At 35.6% G+C, this 14,910-nt stretch overlaps 1 long non-coding RNA gene across 1 annotated transcript in view; it reads right to left on the minus strand.

Annotated features, from left to right (window-relative positions):
- MIR548XHG (MIR548X host gene) overlaps positions 1-14,910 on the minus strand; it is a 198,548-nt gene that overhangs the window by 161,032 nt on the left and 22,606 nt on the right. The gene's annotated exons all lie outside the window — the stretch shown is intronic.

Raw genomic sequence — 14,910 nt, forward strand, 5'->3', positions numbered from 1 at the left:
CCCTCCAAATGGGAGGACTACAGTGTCTCCTGCTCAGTGCAGTGATGCTTTTCTTTAAGTGCATATAGAAATGTTCATATTTTACCTGAGTGGGCTGACAGTTCAACACATTGCCATCTTGTGTTGACAATGCATACTTCAATTTGGTATTAGAGACACATTTCCTTATACTTCTGGGTTTAAATTATGCAGTTTTTCTCAGTGCCACTGTTTTCTTGTGGGTATAACAATAATACTTACTTTACAAGGCTGGTGCAAATATTAATTGAACAAATAGATGCCTAGTAAACGGAATTGTGAAAGGCACATTGTAAGGATTCTATAATTGCTTTTATTATTATCAATATTATTATTATTAATCTATCCATGAAAATTATCCAGCTTATTACTACCAGAAAGGAAATGTTGAAAGACAATAAAGTTAAATGCAAACTGCATAAAATGACTTTATAATATTAAGAGATACAGACTTGTATTTGAATATATTAGCAAAAACAATGGAATTATAAATATGTATTTTCCATTTTTTCTAGCAAACAATAATTTATTTATATGAAAAATGTATAGTTAGAAAAGCCAGTGTGGTTCATAATTGCTGATGTACAAATTCCTTGATTTAAAGCAAAAATCCACTTTAATATGGCAGCATATATTACCATATTCTTATTTGAAAAATGTTATTTCAACTCCTCCAAAGATACAGTGACAGAAAGTGTTATTTTAATTTATTTGCCATATGCAATCCTGTTTCCTCTCCTTAAATTAAGAAAAATGCATAGAGTGTTTCCCATCAGGTAGCTCCTATTTGGATGAAAACTCTTAAAACTCAATGAAGAGCACTCTGTTTTCAGTAACTCCTGTTAAAAACACAAACACAGGTTACGGCCAGGTGGAAGTGAAAATTTTGACTTTTTTTCTGGATAGAAATGTGGAATTACAAATATGTCACCTCTGAACTAGGTACATATCCAGCTAATCTAGCACAGCTAGATAATCACAACTCTACCGGAGTACTGTGTAGATTTTGCAGTGTGGGGAACAAAGTCTATGCTTGCTGGTAGGAAGATCACCTGAAGAGTGAAGAAAGAAGGGGCTGATTTGCTCAGACTGTAATTTGCTCCCTAGTAATCAGGGAAGTCATACCTCATCCCATAGGGAAGAATGACAAGTAACAGAAAAAGGGTAAGGATATGGCTCTTTGGAGGGTTCTGGACAGAAAAGTTGAAGCAGAGAAAAATTACATATTCAGATAGAAAAACAAATTTATTGAACAACGATCCAATAGATTATTAAAATAGGTACCATTTTTGTTTAGGTTTATGTTTTGTGAAATTGATTTATGTTTTGTGAAATTTATGATTTCACAATTTTTTGTTTTGTGAAATTGTACATAATTTATGTTCTGTGAAATTGTTGATCTATGTTTTGTGAAATTGTACATAATCTATTATTTCTTTCAATAGATATTTTAATTTAAAGTATGAAATAATTAACACTGCTAGTCATTAATTTTTACCCTGAAACACAATCTTGCCTCAAATTTTCAGAACATTATTTTTTATTTAGTATATCACTTCATAAATAGCCACAACCCTCAAAGATGTAAATTAAGGACAGCAAGGTTTAAAATCAATAATTCCTTTAAGCCTTTACAATATTTTTTAAAGTAGTGCCAGGAAATAAGACATGCTGGCTTTCACTTTCAGTAACCTGAAAATAATAGCATAAATTATGTAAGTAACCTCTTATTTAACAGAGTTGTATCATATTTTTTACTCTAAGTTCCTTGTTTAGTATGACAAAGCTCTACTTTCTAGATCAGTGGTTCTCAAAGACAATGATTTTCTCCCAGGAAGATTTCTTAGGAGGCATTTGGCAATGTCTGGAGAGAGTTTGGGTTGTGATAAAACAAGGAAGACACTACTATTGGCAACTAGTGAACAGAGATCACAGATGCTGCTGAACATCCTAAAATTCAAGTGGCAGCTTTTACAACATAGAAGTGGCCAAAAATGTCAGTTGTGCTGAGGTTCAGAATCTTTGTTTTAGATGCATGTTATTTGACTTAAGATTTGTATTAATATCAAAGGGACAACTTTGGGGCTTGAAGATGGCTGACTAGAGGGACCTGACACTTGCCTTCTCCACAAAGAAGGACCAAAACAGCAAATAAATAATCACACGTTGAATAGAGTGTCTGAGAGAGAACAGTAGAATTCAGCAGAGAAATCACAGGAAAGCTCTGAGATACACACAGAAGAGAGAAGCAAAGCAGTTCACTGGTCAGGATTGGCTGGGAGCCTCAGGAGAGAGAAACTTCCCAGCGTAGGAAAAAGGTAAATGAGAGATCACCTGCGGTCCTCATTTCCACCATGAACGTCTGCTATCTGCAAGCGGAGAAGCCCCTTGGCCCTTGCAGGCCCTGAGACCAGTATAGGAAGCCGTATAGAGTCCATATGATTGTATTGTTCCAAAGTGGGAGTTCATGCTGGATCATATCAACCTCCTTGCCACCCCATGCTAGACTCAAGCAGCTACAGGAGGGTACCATTTTGAGAGCCCATCAGCTACCAGACTATATCCTTCCCTGGGACCCAATAGCCACTGTTTTTCCCCTTCCCTTGAGACCCCTGCTGACATCTCCCTAGATCCACTCAGAGATCTGCAGTATCAGGACACAGACTGAACCTGTCACTGTTGCCAGGTCCCCAGGACTCTAGACTTCGCAGTGTCCTACAGCCTGGGAAAAGTGCATGCATCACACCAGGGAGTCTGCCCGTGGAACAAGACAAAGGAAGCCAAAGCATTTGATGCCCAGAGTCTGAGAGACCCTGCCCAGGGCCACTGTCACAGACACTAACCTCCCACTCCAAGCAGCAGGACCACTGCTCATCTGCATGTGCCTTCAGGGGGCCCAGGGGCCAACCTGCCCAGAAACCATCTGGGGTTTAAGAATATTCCAATTCTTGCGATAGTTTGCTGAGAATGATGGTTTCCAGCTTTATCCATGCAAACTGTCGCAAGGACAAAAAACCAAACACCACATGTTCTCACTCATAGGTGGGAATTGAACAATGAGAACACATGGACACAGGAAGGGGAACATCACACACCGGGGCCTGTTGTGGGGTGGGGGGAGGGGGGAGGGATAGCATTAGGAGATATACCTAATGTTAAATGACGAGTTAATGGGTGCAGCACACCAACATGGCACATGTATACATATGTAACTAACCTGCACATTGTGCACATGTACTCTAAAATTTAAAGTATAATAAAGAAACAAATAAAAAATAAAAAATTGAAAAAAAAAAGAAAAAAGAATATTCCAATCTTGCCTAGTGACCCTAGCACCGTGCATGCCATTTGGGAGCCTGAGGACAACTCAACCTACCACCATTGGCACCCTTGCATGCTGTCTGGGGGCGTGAAAATTCAAGTATACTGTCCTGCTGCTGCCAGTGCCAGCTCACACAATCAGGAGACTGGAGGACTGGCCTGCCCCACCCTCACCTTCCTGCAGCAGTGCACATGAATACCACCGGGGGGCCTGAAAACAGTTCTGCCCTGCCCATTGCCATCTCCATTAGCACCCAAGCATGCTGTCTAGGGGCCGAAAAATGAATCTTCATAAATTTAAATAAATTAAAATCATATCAAACATCTTCCCACATCATAATAGAGTAAAATTAGAAATCAATACCAAGTAGAACTTTGGAAACTGTACAAATACATGGAAATTAAGCAACATGCTCCTGAGTGACCACTGGTTCAATAAAGAAATTAAAAATAAATTAAAACATTTTTTGAAACAAATGAAAATAGAAACACAAATACCAAAACCTAGGGGGTAGAGCAAAGGCAGTGGTAAGATGGAAGTTTGTAGTTATAAATACCTACCTCACAAAGAGTAGAAATATTTCAAATAAACAACCTGATTACTTGCCACCTCAAAAAGCTAGGAAAACAAACAAAAAAAGCAAATAATCAAACTCAAAATTATTAATTTTTTAAATTTAAATTTTTATTTAATTTAGTTATTTTTTAGAGACTGGGTCTCCCTCTGTTGTCCAGGCTGGCCCTCAAGTGATCCTCCCGTTTTGGCCTCCCAAAGCACTGTGATTATAGGTGACAGCCACTGCACTCAACCCAAACTCAAAATTAGTAGAAGAAAATAAATCATAAAAATCAGAGCAGAACTGGATAAAATAGAGACTAAAAATTTACAAAGTATCCATGAAACAAAAAGTGTTTTTTTGAAAAAAGATAAACAAGATCAATAAACTGATAGTTTGACTAACCAAGAAAAAGAGAGAGAAGACATAAAAAAGTAAAAGTAAAAATTAAAAAGGAGACATTAAACTGGTATCAGAAAAATAAAAAATATCATTAAAAACTGTTATGAAGCACTATATGCTAACAAATTGGAAAATCTAAAGAAAATGGATAAATTCCTAGATACACATAACCTACCAGGATTGCATAAAGAAATTAAAAATTTGAACAGATCAATAAGAAGTAACAAAATTGAAGCAGTAATAAGTCTCCCATCAAAGAAAAGCCCAGAACCTGATGGCTTAACTGCTGAATTTTATCAAATTTATCAAGAAGAACTAAAATGAATTTCTCTGAAACTATTCAAAAAAAATTTAAGATGAGCCCTCTATGAGGCCAGCATTGCCCTGATACCAAATCCAGGAAAGGCATAACAAAAATAGAAAACCACAGGCCAATACTCCTGAATAACATAGATGCAAAATTCCTCAACAAAATACTAGTAAAACAAATCAAACAACATAGCAAAATACACCATGATCTAGTGGGATTTATCAAAGGGACACAAGTATGGTTCCACATATGTAAATGGATAAATGTAATACATCACATGAACAGAATGAAGGACAAAAATTGTAATATCACCTCAATAAATACATAAAAAGCACCTGATAAAATTCCGAATCCTTTATGATAAAAACTCTCAAGATATTAGGCACGGAAGGAACATAGCTCAACATAGTAAAGAAAATATATTGCTGACCCATAGCTAACATCATATTGGATGGGGAAAAGCTGAAATCTTTTCCCCTAAAAACTAGAGAAAGATAAGAATGCCCACTTTCACCGCTGTTATTCAACATAGTATTAGAAGTTCTGGCCAGAACAGGCAGGCAAGGGGAAGAAATAAAAGGAATTCAAACTGGAAAAAAGAAGTCAAAATGTATCTCTTTGCAGATAAGATGATCTTATATATTTAAAAACAAACAAAACACTAAGACTCCACCAAAAAAAAAAAAACCATTTAGAACTAATAAATGAATTCAGTAAAGTTGCAGGATACAATTTCAATATATAAAAATCACTAACATTTCCACACACCAAAAACAAATTAGCTGAAAAAGAAATTTAAAAGGCAATCCCTTTTATAAAAGCTAGAAAAAAAAATATCTAGAAATAAATTTAACCAAGAAGTCAAAAGACCTCTGCAAGGAAAACTACAAAACACTGATGAAAGAAATTGAGGAGGATACAGATAAATAGCAAAAATCTTCTGCTCATGGAATGGAAGCATTAATATTGCTTAAATGTCTATACCACCCAAAGTGATCTACAGATTCAATGTAATCTTGATCAAAGTAACAATGGCATTCTTTGCAGAAATAGAAACAAAAATTCTAAAATTTGTATGACACTATAAAAGACCTGAATAACCAAAGCAATCTGAACCAAAGAACCAAACTGGAAGCCATCACACTACTTGACTTCAAAATATACTCCAAAGCTGTAATAACCAAAACATCAAGGTACTAACATGAAAACAAACAAGACCAATGGTACAGAATACAAAACCCAGAAATAAATCCAAATATTTACAGCCAACTGATTTTTTGATAAAGAGCCCAAAAATATACATTGGTGAAAGGACACCCTCTTCAATAAATGGTTCTAGGAAACCTGAATATCTATTATGCAAAAAGAATGAAACTATATTCCTATCTCTTGCTGTATAAAAAATTAACTCAAAATGAATTAAATACTTCACTATAAGACCTGAAACTATAAAAATACTAGAAGAAAACCTAGGCAATACTCACATGGACATTGATTTAGGCAAAGAGAATTTATGACAAAGACCTCATAAGCTCAGGCAACAAAAGCAAAAATAGATAAATGGGACTATTAAATTAAAAAGCTCTGCATAGCAAAGGAAAAAGTCAGCAGAGTGAGAGACAACCTGTACAATGGGAGAAAATATTTGCAAACTAATCATCCAAGAAGGGACTAATATCCAGAATATATCAGGAACCCAAACAATTGAACTGCAAAATAATAATAGAATCCCATTAAAAAGTGAAAAAAGAACATTTTTCAAAAGAAGACCAGTATAAATAGCCAACAGATACATGAAAATAAGTTCAACATTACTAATGATCAAGAAAATGCAGATCAAAACTACAATAAGCTATCACCTCATCCCAGTTAGAATGGCTACTCTCAAAAACACAAAATATAGCAAATGCTGGCAAGGATGCAGAGAACAGGGAACTCTTATAGACTATTGGTGGAATGTAAATTAGTATAGCCATTATGAAATACAGTGTGGAGAGTTCTCAAAAACTGAAAATAGAATTACAATATAATCTAGCAATTTCAATACTATGTATTTATCCAAAGGAAAATAAATCAGTATATCAGAGTAATACCCGCACCCCAATGTTTTGTGGAGCACTACTCACAATAACAAAGATAGGAAACAACCTCAGTATCCATCAATGAACAAATAAATAAAAAAAGTTATAACTTTATGGTATAAAATAAAACATAGTATATATAACATTTATAGAAAGCGCTCTCTCTCTCTGTGCATGTATATGGTTGAATAGTATTTAGCTATAAAAAAGAATGGAATCCTGTCATTTGCAGTAACGTGGATAGAACTGGAGGTCATTATGTATAAAGTAAAATAAGCCAGGCTCAGAGAGATATCACACATTCTAGCTCATATGTGGGAGCTAAAGAAGTGTATCTTGTGGAGGTAGAGATTAGAATGATAGTCACAAGTGTGTAGAAAGGGTGGGGAAGTGGAAGAAGCAAGGTTGGTTAATGGGTACAAACATACATATCGATAGCACAGAAGGCTAATTATCTATAATTGTTATCTATAACAACAAAGTAATTTTGGAATATAATAATTTTTCTCACTGTTTAAAACATAAGATATGTCTGTGGATCTAAGGAAAGTTGTCTAAGATTCATATGATTTAATAACATCCAGATACTTAACCAGGTACACTTAGGAATTTATGTTGAATTGTACAATATTTTGAGAAAAAATGATTATTTGCTAAATAGTGTGAGAATAACTTTCTAGAATACATGATCAGCAAGTGCAAGGATTATTTTCTATTTTGGTCAATGCTATGTCTTCAGGGCCTAGCATATATCGACAATAAATAATTGTGAGATGAATAAGTAAATCCTAAAATTCCAAACCATTTCAATTTAGTGATATAAGTTTTTAAGCTTTCACTGCAACTAGCTTTTGCCCCTTGCAAATATCTGAGATATATCCTATAATGGGTAAATACTTACAAGTTTAAAATGTTTTTATATACATAGGGAATTAAGACTTTTTGCTTAAACAATTCTCATATCCTTGTAATGAGTCAGAAATTTGTATCCCTAATTGACAGTAGAAGATTATGGATAAGGCAGACTCTGAATGGTGCTCAACTAATAGTCATTCTCTTCTTCCTTAGAGCAACCTCATTTGGATGGAGCAGCAAAGTGCCAACTGGAAGACGTGGAATCCCAGCTTCTCTTACAGTGTGTGGTGGCCCCTGACAAGAAGGTTCTTACCTGTCAGATATGGGTAGATAAATTTGGGGTTTTTGTCTTTTCAAAGATATAATGTTTATCCTTGTCTTGAACTTATCCTTTTACCAGCCCTTCTTCCCCACTGGAACCCAGCCACAGTGCTTGAAATGCACGCCTCTATACATTTTAAGAAAAACAATCCTTCATTTTGTTTAACCCATTTTATTGTTTTGATGATATATTTGTAGTATGTAGCTGAACTTACGCTTAACATAGGCATGGTGGCTTAGAAAGTTATATATCTAGCATGGCCAAATCTAAATTGTCAAGTCCATGTTTAAAAACTCAACTTATCCATCTCCACAATTCATGTACTTTTCATAATGCTGCACTTTCTTTTGAAAGTCCTAGATGCTCAATCCAGTGCTCATCATTAGTATGTCCATTATATACCTTCCATATTTTATATTCTTTCAAATACAACTCCAGGGAAAATAATATACAAAATAGGATTTCAAATAGAAGAATGACTAAAAATGAACAGATCTCAGTGCTCATTTATAAGTTTGTCCTTTAAGATGTCTTCATTGAGTTAAGAAACACCTGGGGCTATTTTAAATGAAAATTGTTTTTTCAAGATTTTTTTTATCATTTAGACCAAGATAAACGCTATGATTTTTTTCTAGCAATAGCAACTTCTTTTGTTATAAAATATGGTCTTACTTTAAAAAGAAAAATCATTAAAATAAAAATATATTGGCAGAATCCTATCAAAAATGGTTCCTATTAATGACAGATGGACATGTTAAAAAATCCTCGAAGTTTTATTTTCAAATTCTATAAGTTATTTCGTTTCTGAAATAAATCATAACTTTATTAAACATGGATGATAGAGTAAAATTCATTTTCTGCTTCCAGGCAATACATGTTGGGAGGAGACATAAAATGTATTCATAAAGATAAAAACTTGAAAGTATAGGATGTCATAGGAAGTTCACTGCATTTATACTTAGAGATGTACTATAAACCAAGTTCAAACATTAATTGAATGAGCAAGAACAAATATTTTAACTTCCTTAAACTTTGTTCTATCATTTAGAAAATGAGATCTTGTTATATTTGCCAAATGCTTTGATTTTTAAAAGGTTAAAAAAATTATGCAATTTCTTTGAAAACTGGTAGACCTAAAAAACATATTAGCTATGTTTGAATACAAAAAATAAATTAGAAAAATAATTTAGTTTTATATTTATTATGACAGTCTTGAGGTTGAGACGATTAAGACATGATACTAAATAATTAACTAAAACAAAAACCGAATAATTACAAGATATCTCTAAAAGTTTAATGTTGCATCAAACACCGTGTGTTAATTTGGATCTATACATTCATACTTTTAAAAATGTATAGGTTTTGTTTTTTAATTTTTAATTTTTGAGAGTACATAGTAGGTGTATATATTTATGGGGTATGTGAGATGTTTGGATACAGGTATGCAATGTGTAATAAGCACATCATGAAAAATGAGGTGTCCGCCGCTCAAGCATTTATCCTTTGTGTTACCAACATTCCAATTATACTTTCAGTTATTTTAATATGTACAATTAAATTATTTACTATAGTCACTCTGTTGTGCAATCCAAAACTAACTCTTATTCTATTTTTTGTGTGTACCCATTAACCATCCCCATCTCCCCTCTACCTGCCCCCAATACCCTTCCAAGCCTCTGATAACCATCTTACTCTCTGTCTCCATGAGTCCAACTGTTTTGACTTTTAGATTCCACAAATAAGTGAGCACATGCAGTGTTTGTATTTCTGTGTCTGGCTTATTTAACATGACATAATGACCTGCAGTTCCATTCATGCTGTTGCAAATGACAGGATCCCATTCTTTTTATAACCAAATAGTATTCCATTGTGTATAATGATAATATTTTCTTTATCTATTTATCTGTTTCTGATATGGTTTGGCTCTGTTCCCACCCAAATTTCACCTTGAATTGTAGCTCCCATAATTCCCACGTTGTGGGAGGGACTCAGGGGGAGATAATTGAATCATGGGGGCAGTTCCCCCATGCTGTTCTCAAGGTAGTGAATAAGTCTCACAAGATCTGATGGTTTTTATAAGGGGAAACCCCTTTCACTTGGCTCTCTTTACTCCCACCACCATATAGGAAGAGCCTTTCACCTTCTGCCATGATTGTGAGGCCTCCCCCACCACATGGAACTGTGAGTCCATTAAACCTCTTTTTCTTTACAAATTACCAGTCTTGGGTTTGTCTTTATCAGCAAGATGAAAACGGACTAATACAGTAAGTTTGGAGGGCTCAGAAGAAGACAAGAAAATGTAGCAAAGTTTAAAACTTACTAGAGACTTGTTGAATGGCTTTGACCAAAATGCTGATAATTATATGGACAATGAAATTCAAGCTGAGGTGGTCTCAGATGAAGAGGAGAAACTTGTTGGGAACTGGAGTAAAGGTGACTCTTGCTATGTTTTAGCAAATAGACAAGTGACATTTTGCCCCTGCACTAGAGATTTGTGGAACTTTGAACTCGAGGGAGATGATTTAGGGCATCTGGTGGAAGAAATTTCTAAGGAGCAAAGCATTCAAGACGTGACTTGGATGCTGTTAAAAGCATTCAGTTTTAAAAAGCAAACAGGGCATAAAAGTTTAGAAAATTTGCAGCCTGGTGATGGGATAGAAAAGAAAATTCCATTTTCTGAGGAGAAATTCAAGCCAACTGTAGAAATTTGCACAAGTAACCAGGAGCCAAATGTTAATTCCAAAGACAATGAGAAAAATGTCTCCAGGGCATGTCAGAGACCTTTGCAGAAGCCCCTCCCATCAGATGCCCAGAGGCCTAAAAGGAAAAAATGGTTCTCTGGGCTGGGCACAGGATCCCACTGCTGTGTGCAGCCTAGGGACTTGGTGCCCTGCATCCCAGATGCTCTAGCCATGGCTAAAAGGGGCCAAGGTACAGCTCCAGTCAGGGCTTTAGAGGGTGCAACCCCCAAGTCTTGGCAGCTTCCATGTGGCATTGAGTCTGTGGGGGCACAGAAGTCAAGAACTGAGGTTTGGGAACCTCCATCTAGATTTCAGAGGATATATGGCAACATCTGGATGTCCAGGCAGAAGTTTGTTGCAGGGGAAGAGCCCTCATGGAGAACCTCTGCTAGGGCAGTGTGGAAGGGAAATATGGAGGGGAAGCCCCTAACACAGAGTCCCTACTGTGGCACTGCCTAGTGGAGCTGTGAGAAGAGGGCCACCATCCTCCAGACCCCAGAATCATAGATCCACCAACAGCTTGCAAGGTGCCCCTGGAAAAGCTGCAGACACTCAACCCCAGCCCGTGAGAGCAGCTGGGAGGGAGGCTGTACCCTGCAAAGCCACAGGGGTGGAGCTGCCCAAGATCATGAGAACCCACCTCTCGCATCAGTGTGACTGTAAGACAGGGAGTCAAAGGAGATCATTTTGGAGCTTTAAAATTTGACTACCCTACTGGATTTTGGAATTGCATGGGGCCTGTAGTGCTGTCATTTTGGTCAATTTTTTCCTTTTGGAATGGGTTATTTACCCAATGCCTGCACCCCCATTTTATCTAGGAAGTAAATAACTTGCTTTTGATTTTACAGGCTTGTAGGCAGAAGGGACTTGCCTTATCTCAGACGAGACTTTGGACGGTGGACTTTTGAGTTAATGCTGAAATGAGTTAAGCCTTTGGGAGATTGTTGGGAAGGCATGATTGTGTATTGAAATGAGAGCACATGAGATTTGGGAGGGGCCAGGGGTGGAATAATATGGTTTGCCTGTATCTTCACCCAAATTTCATCTTGATTTGTAGCTCCCATAATTCCCACGTGTTGTAGGAGGGGCCCGGGGGCAGATAATTGAATCATGGGGGTGGTTTTCCCAATACTGTCCTTGTGGTAGTGAATAAGTCTCATAAAATCTGATGGTTTTATAAAGGGAAACCTCTTTTGCTTGGCTCTTTCTCTCTCTTGCCAAGTAGTGCCTTTCATCTCTGCCGTAATTGTAAGGCCTCCCCCACCAGATAGAACTGTGAGTCCACTAAACCTGTTTTTCTTTATAAATTACCCAATCTCTGATATGTCCTTATCAGCAGTGTGAAAATGGACTAATACAGTTTCCAAATCTTGGCTATTATAAACAGTGCTGCAACAAACATAGGGGTGAAGATGTATCTTCCATATACTGATTTCCTTTCTTTTGAATGTATAATCCAGGTACCGCTGGATTATATGGTATCTCTATTTTTAGTTTTTTTGTGGAACCTCAAAACTGTTCTTCAGAATGATTGTACTAATTTATATTCCCACCACAAGTGTACAAGGGTTCCCTTTTTACATCTTCACTGGTATTTGCTATTGCCTGTCTTTTGGATAAAAGCCATGTTAACTAGGGTGAGATGATATTTCATTGTAGTTTTGATTTGCATTTCTCTGATGATCAATAATGTTGAGCATATTTTATATACCTATTTACCATTTATATAACTTCTTTTCAGAAATGTCTGTTTATTACCCACTTTTAAATCAGATTATTTGATTTTTTTTCTTATAAAGTTGCTTGAGCTCCTTATATATACTGGTTACTAAATTGCCAGATGGGTAGTTTACAAACATTTTCTACCATTCTATGGGTTGTCTCTTTACTTTGTTGATTGTGTCCTTTGCTATGCAGAAGGTTTTTAACTTGAGGTGAACCCATTTGTCCATGTTTGCTTTGGTGCCCTGTGCTTATGGAGTAGTATTCAATAAAGTTTTTGCCCAGACCAATGCCTGGAGAGTTTCCTCGGTGATTGCTTGGGGTAGTTTCATAGTTTGAAGTCTTAGATATAAGCTTTTAATCCATTTTGACTTGATTTTTGTATATGGTGATAATCTAGTTTCATTCTTCTGTATATGGATTATCAGTTTTCCCAGCACCATTTATCGAAGAGACTCTCTTCCCCAGTGTGTGTTCTTGGCACCTTTCTTGAAAATGAGTTCACTGTACAGGTGTGGATTTGTTTTCGGTTTCTCTATTCCATTCCACTGGTCTGTCTGTTTCTATGCCAGTACCGTGTTCTTTGGGTTACTATAACTGCAGTGTGATTTGAAGTCAGGTAATGCAGTTTCTTCTGTTTTGTTCTGTTTTTTTCACTTAGAATAGCTTTAGCCATTCTTGGTCTTTTTTGGTTTCATATAAATTTTAGGTTTTTTTTTTCTATTTCTCTGAAAAGTGCCATTGGTATTTTGATAGATATTACATTGAATCTGTAGATTATTTTGGGTAATGTGGATGTTTTAACAATATTGACTCTTCTAATCCATGAACGTGGGGTATCTTTCCCTTTTTTGGTGTCCTCTTCAATTTCCTTCAACAGTGTTTTATGGTTTTTATTAGAGAGATCTTTGACTTCTTTGGTTAATTCCTAGGTATTTCATTTTATTTATAGCTATTGTAAATGGATTACTTTTCTGATTTATTTTTCAGATTGTTTACTTTTGGCACATAAAAATACTCCTGATTTTTGTATGTTGTTTTGTGTCCTGCAACTTTACTGAATTTGTTTATCAGTTCTAATAGTATTTTGGTGGTGACTTTAGGTTTTTCCAAATATAGTATCATATCATCTGCAAACAATGATAATTTTATTTTTCATTTTCCATTTGGATGCCTTTGATTTCCTTCATTGTTATTCAACATAGGACTTCACAGTACTTGTTGAATATCAGATCAATGCCCCAGAGAATAAAAATGGGCAACCTTATCATCCAGACCTTAGAGGAAAGGCTTTCAGTTAAGATGTGTATTTTTTGTATTTCATCTACAATTATTAAAATAAGCATAGCTTTTAAGCATTATTAGCATTAAGAAGAATATCTAAAAAGATAACATATTGATATGTTTATTTCTATAGTATCAAGAATTTAGGAAAAAAATAAGGAAATATGCTTTTTAAAAGAAGGATAGCCCATACATGGTGTCTCACACCTGTAATGCTAGCAATTTGGGAAGAGGGCAGTTTGCTTGAGCCCAGGAGTTGGGGACCAGCCTGGGAAACATGGCAAAACCCACTTTCTACTGAAAAAAAACAAAAAACAAAAAAATTAGCCAGGCATGGTGGTACATGCCTGTAGTCCCAGCACCTTGGAAGGCTGAGTTGGAAGGATCAACTGAACCCAGAAAGCCAAGGCTGCAGTGAGCTGAAATTGCACCACTGCACCCCAGCCTGGGCAACAGGAATGAGACCCTGTCTCAAAAAAACAAATAACGAAAAGAAAAGAAAAAGGCTAAAACTATGATTCACTTAATCATACGTAAAATGTTTTACCTTCTAAATAGAGAAGCTACAAAACCTCACAAAAGAACATAATAGGAAATCTGAACAATAGAAAGAAGTACCATAATATTGGGCAAGAAGATATATGTTTAAAAGTACCTATTCTTTCAGAATCAATGCATGATTTTAAAATTCTAACTAATATTCTCTTTTTATAAGGGGAATAATATAAACTATTTTAGAACAGTGAAGAAATAATGGAAAATAAAGTGATACAATAGGAATCATCTCAGTAATTATTCCATTAGTAACATATTCTAATGCCATCATAATCAAATTAGTATTGTAGTAACAAGCTCAGGTGGCTAGATCAGTGCGCAACACAGATAATTCAGAAATAGGTCTAAGTGTATATGAGAATGTAACATATAAAACAGGTAATATTTTAATTCATAGGAAAGGACAGTTAATTTTTATAAATTGTGTGGGCATATGTGGCCACATCTCTGGAGTAAAACTGTGTCACATCTGTAACACATACATTCTGTTTGACTTCAAGTCTCTCTATTGATGAAAATGTGAATAGTTTCAAACTTTGGCAAAGCATTTAAAAATAAATATTAAAATTAAAACTGCACACACACTTTTTTTGCCTGTCCGTTGCATTCAATTACTCTATCTCTTGGAGCTGAATTTATTTCTGTGAGGCTTTATGTATAATTATATTTATTACTGCATTTCTCATAATAGCCAAAAAAAGGAATAAAAGCATACAAATACAGTATATGTCCAAACATGCAA

Source organism: Homo sapiens, chromosome 21 (genome assembly GCF_000001405.40).
Source record: "Homo sapiens chromosome 21, GRCh38.p14 Primary Assembly".
In the NCBI taxonomy this organism is placed as follows: domain Eukaryota; kingdom Metazoa; phylum Chordata; class Mammalia; order Primates; family Hominidae; genus Homo; species Homo sapiens.